This window comes from Homo sapiens, chromosome 2, assembly GCF_000001405.40.
Source record: "Homo sapiens chromosome 2, GRCh38.p14 Primary Assembly".
NCBI classification, from domain to species: Eukaryota; Metazoa; Chordata; class Mammalia; order Primates; family Hominidae; genus Homo; species Homo sapiens.
The window spans coordinates 3,798,407-3,817,758 of record NC_000002.12 but is presented as its reverse complement, the minus strand read 5'-3'; the positions used below and the strand labels follow the sequence as shown (position 1 = coordinate 3,817,758).

Genomic DNA, 19,352 nt, shown 5'->3' with positions numbered 1-19,352 from the left:
CTCCCTAACTCATCCCAACCCTTTTTCATTACACACAGCCAAAGTGCAGGGCTGTGTGGTTGGAATTGTTACACAAGAGCCAGGACTGCACCCTGTAGCCTTTCTGTCCAAACAACTTAACCTTACTGTTTTAGCCTAGCCCTCATGTCTGCATGTGGCAGCTGCCACTGCTTTAATACTTTCAGAGGCCCTCAAAATCACAAGCTATGCTCCACTCACTCTCCACAGTTCTCATAACTTCCAAAATCTATTTTCTTCCTCACACCTGATGCATATATTTTCTGCCCCACTCCACTACCTGTCAGCAAGCCAAACTCATTGCCTTAACTCAGGCCCTCACTCTTGCAAAGGGACTGTGAGTCAATATTTATACTGACCGTAAATATGCCTTCCATATCCTGCACCACCATGCTGTTATATGGGCAAAAAGAGGTTTCCTCACTACAAAAGGGTCCTCCATCATTAATGACTCTTTAATAAAAACTCTTCTCAAGGCCGCTTTACTTCCAAAGGAAGCTGGAGTCATTCACTGCAAGGGCCATCAAAAGGCACCAGATCCCATCACTCAGGGCAGTGCTAATGCTGATAAGGTAGCTAAAAATGCAGCTAGTGTTCCAACTTCTATCCCTCACGGCAGTTTTTCTCCTTCTCATTGGTCACTCCCACCTGCTTCCCCACTGAAACTTCCACCTATCAATCTCTTCCCACACAAGGCAAATGGTTCTTGGACCAAGGAAAATATCTCCTTCCAGCCTCACAGGCCCATTCTATTCTGTCATCATTTCGTAACCTCTTCCATGTAGGTTACAAGCCGCTAGTCCGCCTTTTAGAACGTCTCATTTCCTTTCCATTGTGGAAATCTATCCTCAAGGAAATCACTTCTCAGTGTTCCATCTGCTATTCTACTACTCCTCAGGGATTATTCAGGCCCCCTTCCTTCCCTACACATCAAGTTTGGGGATTTGCCCCTGCCCAGGACTGGCAAATTGACTTTACTTACATGCCCCAAGTCAGGAAACTAAAATACCTCAAACTGCCACCCTTAAGTCTCTCTTAAAGTGGATAGATAATCTTTGCTGACAGGGCACACTCCAATACTTTCACCCTGATAAGTCCTATTCTTTACTTTTATACTCACTCTTATTCTCGTTCCCATTCTTATGCCACCCTGTACCTCTCCTCAGCTATCTCCACCACACTATCAATCTCACTCACTCTCTCCTAGCCGTTTCTAATCCTTTAACAAACAATGGCTGGCTTTGCATTTCTCTTTCTTCCAGAATTGCTGAGGCCTCAACTTACTGCTAAAAAAAGGGGACTGACTCTGTATATTTTTAAATAAAGAGTGTTGTTTTTACCTAAATCAATCTGGCCTGGTGTATGACAACATAAAAAAACTCAAGGATAGAGCCCAAAAACTCACCAACCAAGCAATTATGCTAAACCCCTTGGGCACTCTCTAATTGGATGACCTGGGTCCTCCCAATTTTTAGTCCTTTAATTCCTGTTTTTCTCCTTCTCTTATTCGGACTTTGTGTCTTCCATTTAGTTCCTCAATTCATACAAAACCACATCCAGGCCATCACCAATCATTCTATGTGACAAATGCTCCTTTTAACAACCCCACAATATCGCCCCTTACCACAAAATCTTCCTTCAGCTTAATCTCTCCCACTCTAGGTTCCCATGCCGCCCATAATCCCACTAGAAGCAGCCCTGAGAAGCATCACCCGTTATCTCTCCATACCACCCAAAAAAAATTTTTGCCACCCCAATGCTTCAACACTGTTTTGTTTTATTTTTCTTGTAAATATAAGAAGACAGGAATGTCAGGTCTCTGAGCCCAAGCTAAGCCATCATATCCCCTGTGACCTGCATGTATACATCCAGATGGCCTGAAGTAACTGAAGAATCACAAAAGAAGTGAAAATGGCCTGTTCCTGCCTTAACTGATGACATTACCTTGTGAAATTCCTTCTCCTGGCTCAGAAGCTCCCCCACTGAGCACCTTGTGACCCCTGCCCCTGCCAGAGAACAACTTCCTTTGATTGTAATTTTCCACTACCTACCCAAATCCTATAAAACGGCCCCATCCCTATCTCCCTTCACTGACTCTTCGGACTCAGCCCGCCTGCACCCAGGTGAAATAAACAGCCTTGTTGCTCACACAAAGCCTGTTTGGTGGTCTCTTCACATGGATACGTGTGACAACAACACAGTTGTCTAAGTAGAAAATCCCAAAGAATTTGCAAAAAGTAACCAGAAGGGGCGGGGTCAAGATGGCCAACTAGAAGCAGCAGCATTCGGAGGCTCCCATTGAAGAAAACCATAATAAGCATGTGAATCCTTCATCAGCAGCCAAGATATCCAGGTTCTCTCATCAGAACTGACTAAGAGCTGGAGGGAAGAGGAAGAAGGAGAGAAGGAAGAACAATGCAGTGCAGCGGCTCACCTGAGAGCCACACAGGGCAGGGGAGCCCCCTCCCCACCAGCAAAGGGAGGCAGTGAGTGAGCGTGCTACCCAGCTGGGGAAACCGTGCTTTTTCCATGGAACTGTGCAACCCTCAGATCAGAAGATCCCACTTGTGAACCCATGCCACTGGGACCTAGCGTACCAATCCTAGAATGTGCAGATGCATGTACTCTTAACAGCCTCTCAGCTGGAATCTGCTTAAGCCTACTGAACTCCCAAGAGGAGGGGCAACCAGCACCAGCTGCAGCTGCCTGCTGTCTAAGCCATTTGAGCTCCTTCGGGTAGGGGCAGCAGCCAGCACTGGGACTCGCCACTGCCTAACACGCTATGCTCCCTGGGTGGGAGAAGGGTATCCATCTCTATAGCCCCAGGCTGTGCTTTTCCCCTGATGGAGCCAGGGAAGCTGGATGCTTGGTCCCAAGACTTGTCCCCTACAGCCCAACACACTGGCTGTGCCAGTCTGTGGCCGGAGTGCCTCTTTAGGCCTGACCTGACCCATCCTTCCTCATTGGGCAGGGCTTCCCTGTAGGAACTCCAGTAACTCCAGTCAGAGGCTCAGGGACAAAAGCCAGATCCCCTAATGGGAGGGGTGGCCACAGTCTCTGCAGACCAGCAGACTTAGCATTTCCTTCTGGTAGTTCTGAGAAAGAATCAACATAAAAATGCTGAAAACCCAAAAGGCCAGAGTGCCTCTTTCCTCCAAATGATCACAACGTCTCTCCATCAAGGGCACAGAACTGGGGGACAGGAGGATGATCAGATGGACGAATTGACAGAAGTAGGCTTTAGAAGATGGGTAATAAAAAACTACACTGAGCATGTTCTAACCCAATGCAAAGAAGCTAAGAACTTTGATAACAGGTTAGAGGAATTGCTAACTAAAATAACCAGTTTAGAGAGGAACATAAACAACAGGATGGAGCTGAAAAACAGCACAAGAACTTTGTGAAGCATACACAAGTATCAATAGCCAAATTGACCAAGTGGAAGAAAGGATATCAGGGTTTGAAGACCACCTTGCTAAAATAAGGAATGCAGACAAGACTAGAGAAAAAAGAATGAAAAGGGATGAACAAAGCCTCCAAGAAATATGGGACATCATCAAAATACTGAACCTACAATTGACTGGAGTACCAAAAGGAGGTGGGGAAAATGGAAAAGCTGGAAAACACACTTCAGGATGTTATCCAGGAGAATATCCTGAAGGAATCACTAAATATGGAAAGGAAAAAACATTACCAGCCACTATAAAAACACACAGAAGTACACAGACCAGTGGCACTGTGAAGCAACCACATAAACAACTCTGCAAAATAACCAGCTAGCATCATGATGAGAGGATCAAATTCACACATAACAATAATAACCTTAAATATAAATGGCCTAATGCCCTAATTAAAAGACACAGACTGGCAAATTGGATAAAGAGTCAAGACTCATCAGCATGTGGTATTAAGGAGACCTATCTCATGTGCAAAGACACACATAGGCTCAAAATAAAGGGATGGAGGAAAATTTACCAAGCAAATGGGAAGCAAAAAAAAAAAAAAAAAGCAGGGGTTGCAATCCTAGTCTCTGATAAAACAGACTTTAACCAGCAAAGGTCACAAAAGAGAGGCATTACATAATGGTAAAAAAAAAAAAAAATTCAACAAGAAGAGCTAACTATTCTGAATATATATGCACCCAATAGAGGAGCACCCAGATTCATGAACCAAGTTCTTAGAGGCCTACAAAGAGACTTAGACTCCCACAAAATAATAATGGGAGACTTTAACACCCCATTGTCAGTATTAAACAGATCAACGAGACAGAAAATTAACAAGGATATTCAGGAGTTGAACTCAACTCTGGATAAAGTGGACCTATCAGATGTCTACAGAACACTCTACCCCAAATCAACAGAATATACATTCTTTGGCCAGGCCTGGTGGCTGACGCCTGTAATCCCAGCGCTTTGGGAGGCTGAGGCAGGCAGATCACGAGGTCAGATCGAGACCATCTTGGCCAACATGGTGAAACTCCATCTCTATTAAAATACAAAAAATTAGCCAGGCATGGTGGCACATGCCTGTAATCCCAGCTACCTGGGAGGCTGAGGAAAGGGAATCGCTTGAACCCGAGAGGTGGAGGTTGCAGTGAGCTGAGATCATGCCACTGCACTCCAGCCTGGGAGACAGAGCAAGATTCCATCTCAAAAACAGCAAAAAAAAAAAAATATATATATATATATATATATATATATACGTTCTTCTCAGTGCCACATAGCACTTATTCTAAAATCGACCACATAATTGGAAGTAAAACACTCAGCAAATGCAAAAGAACTGAAATCATAACAGTCTCTCAGACTACAGTGCAATCAAATTAGAACTCAGAATTAAGAAACTCACTCAAAAGCACACAAATACATGGAAATTGAACAACCTGCTCCTGAATGACTCCTGGGCAAATAATGAAATTGAGACAGAAATCAAGAAGTTCTTTGAAACCAATGAGAACAAAGAGGAAATGTACCAGACTCTCTGGGACACAGCTACAGCAGTGTTAAGAGGGAAATTTATAGCACTAAATGCTCACATCAGAAAGCCTGAAATAACTCATCGATACCCTAACATCACAGTTAAAAGAGCTAGAGAGGCAAGAACAAACTAATCCAAAAGGTGGCAGAAGACAAGAAATAACTAAGACCAGAGAAGAATTGAAGGAGATATAGACACAAAAAACTCTCCAAAAAATCAATGAATCCAGGAGCCGGTTTTTTGAAAACTTAACAAAATGATAGAATATTATCTACACTAATAAAGAAGACAAGAGAAGAGAATCAAATAGACACAATAAAAAATGATAAAGGGGATATCACCACTGACCCCACCGAAATACAAACTAGCATCAGAGAATCCTATAAACACCTCTATGCAAACAAACTAGAAAACATGGAAGAAATTGATAAATTCCTAGACACATACATGCTCTGAAGACTAACCAAGGAAGAAGTTGAATCCCTGAATAGACCAATAACAAGTTCTGAAATTGAGGCAGTAATTAATAGCCTACCAACCAAAAAAAAAAAAGCCCAGGACCATATGGATTTACAGCTGAATTCAACCAGAAATACAAAGAGGAGCTGGTACCATTCTTTCTGAAACTACTCCAAACAATTGAAAATGAGGGAGTCCATCACTCATTTTATGAAGCCAGCATCATTCTGATACCAAAACCGGGAAGAGACACAACAAAAAAAGAAAACTTCAGGCCAATACCCGTGATTAACATCGATGCGAAAATCCTCAATAAAATACTGCCAAGCCAAATCCAGCAGCACGTTAAAAAGCTTATCCACCACAATGAAGTCAGCTTCCTCCCTGCGATGCAAGGCTGGTTCAACATACACAAATGGATAAACATAATCCATCGCATAAACAGAACCAAATATAAAAACCATGTGATTATCTCAATAGATGCATAAAAGGCCTTTGATAAAATTCAACATCTCTTCATGTTAAAAACTCTCAATAAACAAGGTATTGATGGAGCATATCTCAAAATAATAAGAGCTATTTATGACAAACCCACAGCCAATATCATATTGAATGGGCAAAAGCTGGAAGCATTTCCTTTGAAAACCAGTACAAGCCAAGGGTGCCCTCCCTCACCACTTCTATTCAATATAGTATTGGAAGTTCTGGCCAGGGCAATCAGGCAAGAGAAAGAAAGAAAGTGTGTTCAAATAGGAAAAGAGGAAGTCAAATTGTGTCTGTTTGCAGATGACATGACTGTATATTTAGAAAACCCCATCATCTCAGCCCAAAAATTCCATAAACTGATAAGCAACTTCAGCAAAGTCTCAGGATACAAAATAAATGTGCAAAAATCACAAGGATTCTTTACACCAACAATACACAAGCAGACAGCCAAACCATAAATGAACTCCCATTCACAATCGCTACAAAGAGAATAAAATGCCTAGGAATACAATTTACAAGGGACGTGAAGGACCTCTTCAAGGAGAACTACAAACCACTGCTCAAGGAAATAAGAGAGGATGCAAGCAAATGGAAAAACATTCCATTCTCATGGACAGGAAGAATCAATATCGTGAAAATGGCCATACTGCCCAAAGTAATTTATAGATTCAATGCCCTTCTCATCAAACTAACATTGACATTCTTCACAGAATTAGAAAAAACTATTTTAAGTTTCATATGAAATTGAAGAAAACTCTGCATAGCCAAGATAATCCTAGGCAAAAAGAACAAAGCTGGAGGCATCACACTACCTGACTTCAAACTATACTACAAGGCTACAGTAACCAAAACAGTGTGGTACTGGTACCAAAACAGACATATAGACCAATGGAGCAGAACAGAGACCTCAGAAATAACACCACATGTCTACAACCATCTGATCTTCAACAAACCCAACAAAAACAAGCAATGGGGAAAGGATCTCCTGTTCAGCAAATGGTGGTAGGAAAACTGGCTAGCCATATGCAGAAAACTGAAACTGGACCCCTTCCTTATACCTTATACAAAAATTAACTCAAGATGGATTAAAGACTTAAATGTAAAACCCAAACCATAAAAACCCTAGAAGAAAACCTAGGTAATACCATTCAGGACACAGGCATGGGCAAAGACTTCATGACTAAAACACCAAAAGCAATTGAAACAAAAGCCAAAATTGACAAATGAGGTCTAATTAGAAGAGTTTCTGCACAGCAAAAGAAATACTCATCAGAGTGCACAGGCAACCTACAGAATGGGAGAAAATTTTTGCAATCTACCCATCTGACAAAGGTCTAATATCCAGAATTTACAAGGACTTAAACAAATTTACAAGAAAAAAACAACCCCATCAAAAAGTGGTAAAAGATATGAGCAGACACTTTTCGAAAGACATTTATGTGGCTAACAAATACATGAAAAAAGTTCAACATCGCTGATCATCAGATAAATGCAAATCAAAACCACAATGAGATACTCTCTCACACCAGTCCAAATGGCAATTATTAAAAAGTCAGGAAACAAGGGATGCTGGTGAGGCTGTGGAGAAATCAGAATGCTTTTACACTGTTGGTGGGAATGTAAATTAGCTCAACCATTGTGGAAGACGGTATGGCGATTCCTCAAGGATCTAGAACCAGAAATATAATTTGACCCAGCAATCCCATTATTGGGTATACACCCAAAGGAATATAAGTCATTCTACTATAAAGAAACATGCACACGTATGTTTATTGCAGCACTATTTACAATAGCAAAGACTTGGAACAAACCCAAATGCCCATCAATGATAAGCTGGATAAAGAAAATGTGGTACATATCCACCAAGGAATACTATGCAGCCATAAAAAGGAATGAGATCATGTCCTTTGCAGGGACATAGATGAAGCTGGAAGCCATCATCCTCAGCAAACTAACACAGGAACAGAAAACAAAACACCACATGTTCTCACTCATAAGTGGGAGTTGAACAATGAGAACATATGGACAACAGAGAGGGGAACAACACACATCAGGGCCTGTTGGGGGTTGGGGGTAAGGGGAGGGAGCTTAGAGAACAAGTCAATAGGTGCAGCAGACCACCATGGCACATGTATACCTGTGTAACAAACCTGCATGTTCTGCACATGTATCCCATTTTTTTCTAGAAGAAATTTATTTTAAAAAGCGACCAGAACTCATCAATGAGCTTATCTCATCAAGATTTCAGGATTCAGGTCGATATAAAAAAGTCAATAGTTTTTCTATATGTTTGCAATAAACAATAGGAAATGTAAATTTTAAGTGCCATGTACAATAGCTACAAAACCAAAATATTTATGCATAAATCTGATTTAGAAAAGGTCAGGATACTAAATGCTACAAAACACTCATTTCAAAAATAGACATGAATAAATAGAGAGATAGAACATGTTCATGGTATTTTATACCCAATATCATTAGCATGTAGATTCTCCCTGAATTGATCTATAGATCAATGGAATCCCAATCAATACTAGCAGGATTGCTACAGAAATTGACAAGTCACATCTAACGCTGACTTATTTGTAAAAGCAAAAGATCTGAAATAGCTCAAAACAATGTTGAAAAGGAAGAATAAAATTGGAGGTTCACATAACCTGATTTCAAAACTGCAGTAATCAAGAAAGCTTCATATTGGTGAAAGGAAAAACACATAGATCAATGGGATAAACATAGAGTCCAGAAACAAACCAACACAAATATGGTTAGCTGGTTATAAAAAATGCAAGTAACTTTAAAGCAGAAAGTGTAGTTCTTTTCAACAGAAGGTACAAGAACAATCAGAAATTCATATGCAAAATTTAAAAAAAAATCCTCATTCCTACACTGCACTACCTATAAAAATTAACTCAAAATGGGTCCTGGACATAAATGTAAAACATAAAACCAAACTTCCAAAATAAAACAGTAGAAAATCTTTGAGACTTTGGGTTAGGCATAGAAATTTTAGAAAGGACACAAAAGGCACAATCCGTGAGAGAAAAGATTGATAAATTGGACTTCAAAATTAAAAGCTTCTGCTCTTCAAATACAATGTTAAGAGAATGAGAAGACAAGCCACATACTGGCAAAAAACATTTGCAAAACATCTGACAAGTAATTTTCCTTTGGGAGGCCGAGGCAGGCAGATCACCAGGTCAGGAGATCGAGACCATCCTGGCCAACACGGTGAAACCCCGTCTCTACCAAAAATACAAAAATTAGCTGGGTGTAGTGGTGTGCCCTTGTAATCCCAGCTACTCAGAAGGCTGAGGCAGGAGAATTGCTTCAACCTGGGAGGCAGAGGTTGCAGTGAGCCAAGATCACGCCACTGCACTCCAGCCTGGTAACAGAGCGAGAACCAATCTCAAAAAAAAAAGAATTTTCAAACAGAGCTCTCAAAACGTGACAAAATGGAAACAATCCATTAAACAAACAGGTCCCCAAAGATGAAATGTGAATGGCAAATAAGCGTATGAAAAGATGCGCAATGTCATTAGTTATTAAGGAAATGCAAAGTAAAATCACAAATGAAATACAACTCCAAGACAAATTACTAAATAAAAATGTTTTTAATTGATAAAGAAAGCTGCTGGTGAGGCTGCAGATCACCTGAAACTTCCATTCACTTCCATCCACTGTACAGTTGCAAAACTATATATACAGCTGCTTAGCAAAAGTTTGCCAGCTTCTTACACAGTGAAAAATGCATTCACTGCATGACTCAGCGATCCCACTCTTAGGTATTACACAACCTTTACATCAATGGATAGCAGCTCTTTTTAAAATATTCAAAAGTTGGACCCAAATGTCCTTCAATGGGGAATGAATAAACTAGTTCTGGTACAACCGTAAAATGGAGCACTACTAGGCAATTGACAGGAATGAGCTGTTGTGCACACAGATGGGTGAACCTCCCACGAACCACAGTGAGTGACAGAGGCGCGTATGCTCCATAATTCCAGCCTATGACACTCTGAAAAGGGTAAAACCAGGGGACAGAAAACAGACCAATGGCTGCCAGGGCATGGGGGTGGCATGGGAATAGAGAGGTGACCACAGAGGGGCCCAAGAGAATTTGGGGGATGGTGGCTGTTCCATACCTTGACTATGCTGGTAGTTATATGACTGTGTGTTCCCAAAACTCCTGGAACTGGACACCGAGAAGGATGCATTCTACTGTGTATAAATTATAGCTCAATTTTTAAAAAGAAGATAAAATGACCCAAGAAGGAAAGGGTGGCATGAAGTGGTGGTCTGGGTGATTCTCCTGCATATGAGAATCATAAAACTGAATAAAATTATTACAAGTATTGAAAGCACCCATGAAGGCCCTTGAAAACTCCCAAGAGAAGAGAACAACACAGCAACACAGGAAGAGTCGACTGTTTACAGACTTTACAGAGCTATACACCTCCAGCCCCCTGCCTGGGCACACTTCGCCCACCCCTGCTGCAGCTGCCAAAAACCACAGCCTTTCTGCTCAAGGCAGCAGATGCCTGTGTAAGCAGCTGAGCATCTAGAAAGGCAAGGGGGGAAATTTGGAAGTGAGAAAGCGCAGAAAGGCTGAGATGCCCAATCTGATAGGGAAGATCCCGGCTCTCCTTAACCACAATTACATATTTGTATACATTTGCCAAAACCCCTCAAGTTCAAGCAGATGTAAATTATATCCTCATGCTGTTAAAAAAAAAAATAGCTTTCTGAAGAAAAAAAAGTCCCAAGATAATACACTCTGGAGCTGGACAACCAAGGTGCTGGCTGGGGCAAGCAGAGCCTATGCAAGACCACCCCAACGCCAGTCATCTTCAGAACGCAGTCCAGGAATTCACCAAGGACTCCGTCGCAACACCTCACCCAACTGAAAATCACAATGCCTGGAAGCATCACCTACCCAGAAAGCAGTCACGAGCAACAAAGAAACTCAAAGATGGGCCAGGCGCAGTGGCTCAGGTCTATAATCCCAGCACTTTGCAGGGCCAAGGTGGGCGGATCACAAGGTCAGGAGTTGGAGACTAGCCTGACCAATATGGTGAAACCCCATCTCTACCAAAAATACAAAAAAAAAAATTAGCCAGGCATGGTGGTGCGTGCCTGTAATCCCAGCTACTCAGGACGCTGAGGCAGGAGAATCGCTTGAACCCAGGAGGCGGAGGTTGCAGTGAGCTGAGATCACGCCATTGCACTCCAGCCTGGATGACGGTGAGAGACTCCATCTCAAAAAAAAAAAAAAAGACACTCAAAGATACATCACAAGCCCACGTGTTGAAGCTCATGCACTTTGTCAATGAGGATTTCAAGAGATGGGTCTCTACTCACACATTGCAGGCTCTCATACAACGCGGGCACTCACAGAACACAGGCGAGCTTCGCTCTGTTTCCCTCTCTGCTGCAGAACAGAAGTCACCTGTCAGAAACGGGTGAGGGAAGCTGATAGAAGCACACCAGTAGCAACCGTGGGGATTCCAGGGAGAGGAGAGACCAAAACACTGCAGAAAGCACAGCAGGCTGGAGCCGTTTAGAACAAGACAAAACCCCAGATGCCAGCCGTCCTTGAAAGCATCAAACAATGCAGCAAAGGGAGTCATGAAGTGCAAAATCATGACCGATTCATCAGGGAACAGGACTTTACAAATGAACTGAAGGCCAGGCATGGTGGCTCACACTTGTAAACCCAGCACTTTGGGAGGCCAAGGCAGGAGGATCACTTGAGTCCAGGAGGTCAAGACCAGCCTGGGCAATGCAGCAAGACCTAATCCCTACAAAACAAAACAACAAAAAATTCGCCAGGCATGGTGTCACATGCTGGTAGTACCAGCTACTGGGGAGTCTGAGGGTGCAGTACAACCCGCACTCTAGCCTGGTTGACAGAGCAAGACCCTGTCTCAAAAAATAAAAATGAAGTAATTGTAGATTAATCACAGGGACATCAGATATATGAAAATTTCACTTTTGCAAAACATCGTTGCTTAAAAATGAGACAAGTGAAGCATTGCTGCATTTGCATTTCATCACACTGTTCTCACTAAAACCATTCAGTTTGGCATGCAGCATCATCCGAAGCATGTGGTAAACAATTCGTAAGTCCTAATCACCACCTCTAAAATTAAACACTAAAAACGTATTTGCGAAAACCTAATTACTTCTTTTAAAATGTCATAAAATACGCTGTGAAACATTTCACAGAAGCACTAGACTGGAAATACAGGCACAAGGTGACACATTATTTGTTGCTGTTTTTTCAAGGGTCACTGCAGCTGATGCAAGGCAGCACTAATAAAGCCCCTCTTTAGACTTTGCTCCATTTACCACTGAAGAAATAGATTCTCCAGAAACATCCACCTCAGTCACACACACGACTCAGTATGGCAATGAGAGAATGAAGTTGCTGGGTGTTTCCTCCTATCCGCTGTCAATCCTATCCATTGTCAATCACACTCTGAGCCTTTCTCCACCACCAGGGGTCGGACTCATCAACCTGGCAGGTTTCCCCGAGTGCCAGCCGGGAGCTGCTGCCGGATTCGAATAGCACCTCTCTCCATGGTTCGCCCTAAATTACTTGGACCTTTCATGCAGTTTCTGAATTAACTGTCTGCAACTTCCACTTTCTCTTGACCACACTGCCTTCTAGAGACTGGACAGAGGGAGTAAAAAGTGTCAGTTGTCATTGGCCCTGCACATGATTCTTGTAGCTGAGGGAAGGCAACATTTCAATTAGGTGAGGATATTTGGCAATTTTCTTGATTTTCAGTTATCCAGGTTATCAATAAAGGGAAAACAGAAGGTAATGCTACATACATCAGTGTTCACATTCATCTCCTACTTTAGTTTATATTTCTAAGGTATAAGTAAAAATCTAGTCTTGACAAAATAGACCTAGAAAGGAAATGGCACCAATAATTCAATAGAAGGTGCACTTTTCCTCAATCCGCATTACCATGGTTTAGGAGGCCAGAATGGGGGTAAGAGCTGGTCACAGTAAAGTGTTCACTGTAAAGACTTCCTTTGTTACGAGTGCAGCACGGGTAGAAGTACTCTGAAATTATGTGAAGACCATGTCTGTTATAACAACTAATCACTCTTCCTTATGCATCATGCATGCATTCAACAGAGAAATCATTTCCTTTTCTATAGGATAAAGGAAATGAGATCTTTTTAAATCAAAATGCTTACTTTTGATTATCAAAATCATTTATCAGTAAGATAAGACTTCAGTAAATATTGATGATAATGTAATAATTAGAAAAATCAAGTGTAAGCATGACAATAAAATGTTTCTAAAAAACATTTGAGGAGGAGGACTACTAGGTCCTTCCTTTATGAATTGACTGTCATCTTTAAAGTGGAGCTCTTCAGAATCAGAAACTAGGAAATTAAAAGCAGGAAATGAAATAATGGGCAAGGCATGAGGCAGAATAGAAAATAGTTCTTCAATACATTAGGCACAAAGGAAGAACAAAGGAAAATAGAGCTCTTTTCTAAAAATAGAGGAAAATTTCCATTGCAGAGGCTGAAAACTAAAGAGATCCAGATCCTGGTTTTAAACTTCCTGCAAATGTCAAATATCAGCCAATCACCAATTACCTTTTGAGTACCTACTCTATGACCAGGGCTCTGCAGGTCAGCGTCACTGGCTACCAGGGAAATATAAGGTGTGGTCTCTGCATTCAGAGAACTTGCAGCCATACTGAGGGGATAATGAATAAATTGTAAACACATACCTCCAATTATGTTAATACAGACCAAGTTTTTCAGGATTTCAGAAGCTACCAAAGTTTGGAGTGGTCGAGATAGTTTCACAGAACACATCAGACTTAGGTGGGGACAATACAGGTTTCAAACAGAGCAGTGACATAATTAAAGGGGAAAACACGGAAGAGTCACCTGCATGCAAGGGTACATGAAGTCAGAAGAGTGCAAAGCCAGGGGCTGACCTGCACCAGCCAGTGCTGAGGCCATGAGAAGGGAGAGGGAGGACGTGGTGCACTTGAAGGAACCTGCAGAATGGCTGGCTGGAAACAGGTGTGCAGTGAAGGGAGGCACTGAATACCAGGCTCAGGCCTCGAGGGCCTGAGCAGCTGAGAGAACAAAGGCGTGATTGATGGAGAAGAGGACGAAGGTGTCTGCTGGCTTAGGACACTGGACTTGAGATGAAGCAGCATCTTGAAATGGAAATGCAGAGGCACATAAAGACCTAAGTTCAGACTGCATGCTGCAGAAGCAAAAATCAAAGTTAGCAGAGGTTTCACTGAAAAGGGACTGAAATAGCATTTGGAAACAGAAGTGGGACAAACAAGACAACTGAGATTATTTTCAGAGTCTTCAGGGTAAACCCACCCACAAAGTGAAGCAGTGAGGAGGAGAACCCACGAAGATAGGACGCAAGGTCTGTGCTTGGGACTGGAGCCAAGATGGAGAAGCCAGCACTGAGATGTGAACAAGGGCGTGTCACACTGAGGAATGGAGGAGTTTGAGTCCAACAGATGGACAAGCAGTATACAAAAACAAACAAACAAAAAAACCCAGAGGTTACAAGGATAGAGTAGATAATGAAATCATCACTGAATTCAACCATTAAAGGTGAAAGATTACGAGAAAGAAAGGCAACACGAGAATATCAGGGGTAGAGCCACATCTCAAGGGCTGATGAGAAAATAGGGAGAAAGTAAAATTATTATATATCAACTATTGGCATGGAAAAGCAACTGAAAGACATCTTCACATGGAACTAGTCACAAAGCAAATGACAATAACTATTTTAGGTCAATACATGAATATAGGTGGGAAAACAAGATGGTAGGTACATATGCTGGAAAGGCCAGGAACAGCTTTTCAAAGTGGATGATGCCTCTGCTGACTGGTGAGTAGAACCAAAGTCCTGAGAGAGTAGGGAAGACTCATGACACTAACAAGGCAGGATAGACAGAGGCCCAGGGACCCTTGAGAGTTAAGGAATGAAGACTTTTGAGAGGAAAATGGAGATGGGTCATTTAGGAAAGAAGGATCTAACAGTTCGTCTTCTCCCAAAATTTATGTGTTGAAATCCTAACCCCTCAAGTGATGATATTAGGAGGCTGGGCCTTTGGAAGGTGATCAGCCCCTTCTAGAAGAGACCCCAGAGAGCTGATTTGCCCCTTCCACCACATGAGGACATAGGAAGAAGCCATCATCTATTAACCAGGGAACAAGCCCTCCTCAGACCGAGCCTGCCAGCACCCTGACCTTACACTTCCCAGCCTCCCAAACTGGAGGGAATATATTTCTGTTGTTTTTAAGCCTGCAACTCTATGGTATTCTGCTATAGCAGCCTATACTCAGTGTCCCCAAGTGTTTTGCTATAGACAAAACAAAGGGGAACTTGTTTACCTCCAGGGCTGAAAGAAGCCATCTAACTTAAAGGTTAACCACACCTGGAATGCTGAGCAAGAGGCCATCTCAACATCTTTCCAAGGCTGAAACAGTCAAACCTACACTGTTTGCAGTACCTGACTTTCACCCCAGAGTTCAGAAAAATTGCCAGAAGGCGTTGAAGGACAGCTTTTATTTACTTACAGCAACCCCAGGATTGGCTAAAGATAGAAGAAAGGGATGACATGGCAGCAGTTTATTTGGAGAATTGCCTTGAACAGCATCAAGGGCTTGGGGACTAAGCATAACTTTCCATGAACGACAAACCACACTCACTTCATCTCCACACAGGAAAAACAAATGACCTCTTTCCTAGGGGAGTTCTTCTGAATTGATCTCACATAGCATTTCCATCAAGAACTTAGGAACATGACATTGATGGGACACTGAGGAAGGAAAAGCTCAGCTGAAGCCCAAGAGTTCCTGCCTCCCCTTCCAGGAAGGGTCAACAAGGACAGCTGAACCTCAAAGTGGGCTACCCCCAGTAGTGTCCCGTCAGCCCAGGGCTGGGAGCCCAGGAGTCCTGAGGGAGGCAGAGGGTATCTGGAGAACCGTGATCAGAAAAGGAGATGCACTGAGCAGAGCTGGGTCAGCATGCATGCTGCAGGGAAAGGCAGGCATCTCAGCCTCGGAGGAGTCTGTAAGCTCCCAGTACAGAAGCCAAGGAGCAGTTAACAGGGAGCCCACAAGCTCAGGCTCTGTGCTGGGCTCCGGGCCAGGGGCCACCCAGGCCAAGACTCTGATGCTAAGTGGACACAGCTTTCCACAGGGATTTGATCCCTTTTGTCCTAAACATATAAATACAACTGTCATTTTTCTACTGATGTGTTACAGTTTTAGAGATTTTTTCTTCTTAATTTCTGACTCATAAACATTAAGAAATGTGTTCTACTTCTAATATTTTCTCTTGTAATTTCTCAAACAATGACAACAGCTAATGATGACTGAGTTCTTCCTTTGTGCCCAGCACTCACCATGGATTCATCTTATGCACCCCTCCCAGCAGCCCTTCAGGGTGCTGTCACCCTTGCAGAAGAATGAGGAAGGCCACGGCCTGGGACAGGTTACGTACATAGGTCACAGAGCCAGGAAGCGGCACAGACCTGCTCTCGCCCTGCTCTGCAATACCTCTGTCCACAACCTGGTACTCAAGGATATTAGCAAGAGCTTGAGGAACTCCTCCTTCAGTGAGTCCTGCTGGGATGCGATACTGTTGTTGAAAGTGACTGTTTTCATTCTGTGAATGTAAATGCTATCACCACCATCCTCATCTCATGCACAACTTCCCAAAAGGTGGTTGTGGATTCCTGGGGGATCTATAGAACCTCCCAGGGATCAGTGAAGTTGAAACTATGCTCATTGTAGAACTAAGAGTCATTTGCCTCTCCTTCCAGGGGTCAGTGAGGTCAAAACTATGCTCATCATAGTACTAAGAGTCATTGGCCTCCTTCCCTGTGTGGCATTTGCATTGACGCTACAAAAACAATGGCAGGTAAAGCTATGGGTGCCTGAGGACTAATCAAAGCCACTGCTCCCAGCCGTACTCACTGCCACCAAATCACTCACTTCAACACACTTGCAGTGTTTGAGAAAATGCCAATGTCACTTAAAATGTCCTTCATGAAGGAATGAAAACTATGAATGTTATTAAACACTGACCTTGAGCACATGACCTTTGTAATATCCTGTGTAAGGAAATGAGAAGAACTCATGAAGCACTTCTGGTGCGCATTGAAGCCACACGATTATCTCAAGAAAAAGCACTTATGTGATTGTGCACATTGCAAGCTGAACTAGACACTTGTTTCATGGAACTACTTTACTTGAAAGAATAAGTAACCTACAAACTATAGTTGCTAATTCTTGGGGGGCTGGCAGGCATTCTCCCAGAATGAGGCTATTATGTCTATAAAAACAACTGATAGTGTTTGGGTTGAACAATAAAATTTGAGCATTCAAAAAACTTCAAATTTGCAGAGGGAGGAGCCAAGATGGCCGAATAGGAACAGCTCTGGTCTACAGCTCCCAGAGTGAGTGACACAGAAGACGGGTGATTTCTGCATTTCCATCTGAGGTACCGGGTTCATCTCACTAGGGAGTGCCAGACAGTGGGCGCAGGTCAGTGGGTGCGCGCACCGTGTGCGAGCTGAAGCAGGGCGAGGCATTGCCTCACTCGGGAAGCGCAAGGGGTCAGGGAGTTCCCTTTCCTAGTCAGAGAAAGTGGTGACAGACGGCACCTGGAAAATCGAGTCACTCCCACCCGAATACTGCGCTTTTCCAACGGGCTTAAAAAACGGCGCACCACGAGATTATATCCCGCACCTGGCTCGGAGGGTCCTACACCCACGGAGTCTTGCTGATTGCTAGCACAGCAGTCTGAGATCAAACTGCAAGGCAGCAGCGAGGCTGGGGGAGGGGCGCCCGCCATTGCCCAGGATTGCTTAGGTAAACAAAGCATCTGGGAAGCTCGAACTGGGTGGAGCCCATCACAGCTCAAGGAGGCCTGCCTGCCTCTGCAGGCTCCACCTCTGGGGACAGGGCACAGACAAACAAAAAGACAGCAGTAACCTCTGCAGACTTAAATGTCCCTGTCTGACAGCTTTGAAGAGAGCAGTGGTTCTCCCAGCACACAGCTGGAGATCTGAGGACGGGCAGACTGCCTCCTCAAGTGGGTCCCTGACCCCTGACCCCCGAGCAGCCTAACTGGGAGGCACCCCCCAGCAGGGGCAGACTGACACCTCACATGGCCAGGTACTCCAACAGACCTGCAGCTGAGGGTCCTGTCTGTTAGAAGGAAAACTAACAAACAGAAAGGACATCCACACCAAAAACCCATCTGTACATCACCATCATCAAAGACCAAAAGTAGATAAAACCACAAAGATGGGGAAAAAACAGAGCAGAAAAACTGGAAACTCTAAAAAGCAGAGCACCTCTCCTCCTCCAAAGGAACGCAGTTCCTCACCAGCAACAGAACAAAGCTGGACGGAGAATGACTTTGACGAGCTGAGAGAAGGCTTCAGATGATCAAATTACTCCAAGCTACAGGAGGAAATTCAAACCAAAGGCAAAGAAGTTGAAAACTTTGAAAAAAATTTAGAAGAATGTATAACTAGAATAACCAATACAGAGAAGTGCTTAAAGGAGCTGATGGAGCTGAAAAACAAGGCTCGAGAACTATGTGAAGAATGCAGAAGCCTCAGGAGCCGATGCGATCAACTGGAAGAAAGGGTATCAGCAATGGAAGATGAAATGAAGGAAATAAAGTGAGAAGGGAAGTTTAGAGAAAAAAGAATAAAAAGAAACAAGCAAAGCCTCCAAGAAATATGCGACTATGTGAAAAGACCAAATCTACATCTGATTGGTATACCTGAAAGTGATGGGGAGAATGGAACCAAGTTGGAAAACACTCTGCAGGATATTATCCAGGAGAACTTCCCCAATCTAGCAAGGCAGGCCAACATTCAGATTCAGGAAATACAGAGAATGCCACAAAGATACTCCTCAAGAAGAGCAACTCCAAGACACATAATTGTCAGATTCACCAAAGTTGAAATGAAGGAAAAAATGTTAAGCACAGCCAGAGAGAAAGGTCGGGTTACCCTCAAAGGGAAGCCCATCAGACTAACAGCAGATCTCTCGGCAGAAACTCTACAAGCCAGAAGAGAGTGGGGGCCAATATTCAACATTCTTAAAGAAAAGAATTTTCAACCCAGAATTTCATATCCAGCCAAACTAAGCTTCATAAGTGAAGGAGAAATAAAATACTTTACAGACAAGCAAATGCTGAGAGATTTTGTCACCACCAGGCCTGCCCTAAAAGAGCTCCTGAAGGAAGCACTAAACATGGAAAGGAACAACCGGTACCAGCCGCTGCAAAATCATGCCAAAATGTAAAGACCATCGAGACTAGGAAGAAACTGCATCAACTAACGAGCAAAATAACCAGCTAACATCATCATGAC

At 43.0% G+C, this 19,352-nt stretch overlaps 1 protein-coding gene across 6 annotated transcripts in view, besides 3 other annotated features; it reads right to left on the bottom strand.

Moving 5' to 3' along the window:
• Nucleotides 1-19,352, bottom strand: part of DCDC2C (doublecortin domain containing 2C) — a 144,434-nt gene that overhangs the window by 30,250 nt on the left and 94,832 nt on the right. The gene's annotated exons all lie outside the window — the stretch shown is intronic.
• Nucleotides 10,493-10,662: an enhancer, noted in NCBI's record as "experimental_58341 CRE fragment used in MPRA reporter constructs". NCBI's record gives its function as "activates a minimal promoter by MPRAs in K562 erythroleukemia cells, with activity observed for both the introgressed and non-introgressed 2:3854772 variant alleles {active_cell/tissue: K562}" and the evidence as "EXISTENCE:reporter gene assay evidence [ECO:0000049][PMID:34662402]".
• Nucleotides 17,187-17,728: an enhancer, noted in NCBI's record as "NANOG-H3K27ac-H3K4me1 hESC enhancer chr2:3847621-3848162 (GRCh37/hg19 assembly coordinates)". NCBI's record gives its function as "activates a minimal SCP1, AML or CMV promoter by ChIP-STARR-seq in naive and primed H9 embryonic stem cells {active_cell/tissue: H9 hESC(naive and primed)}" and the evidence as "EXISTENCE:reporter gene assay evidence [ECO:0000049][PMID:30033119]".
• Nucleotides 17,729-18,272: an enhancer, noted in NCBI's record as "NANOG-H3K27ac-H3K4me1 hESC enhancer chr2:3847077-3847620 (GRCh37/hg19 assembly coordinates)". NCBI's record gives its function as "activates a minimal SCP1, AML or CMV promoter by ChIP-STARR-seq in naive and primed H9 embryonic stem cells {active_cell/tissue: H9 hESC(naive and primed)}" and the evidence as "EXISTENCE:reporter gene assay evidence [ECO:0000049][PMID:30033119]".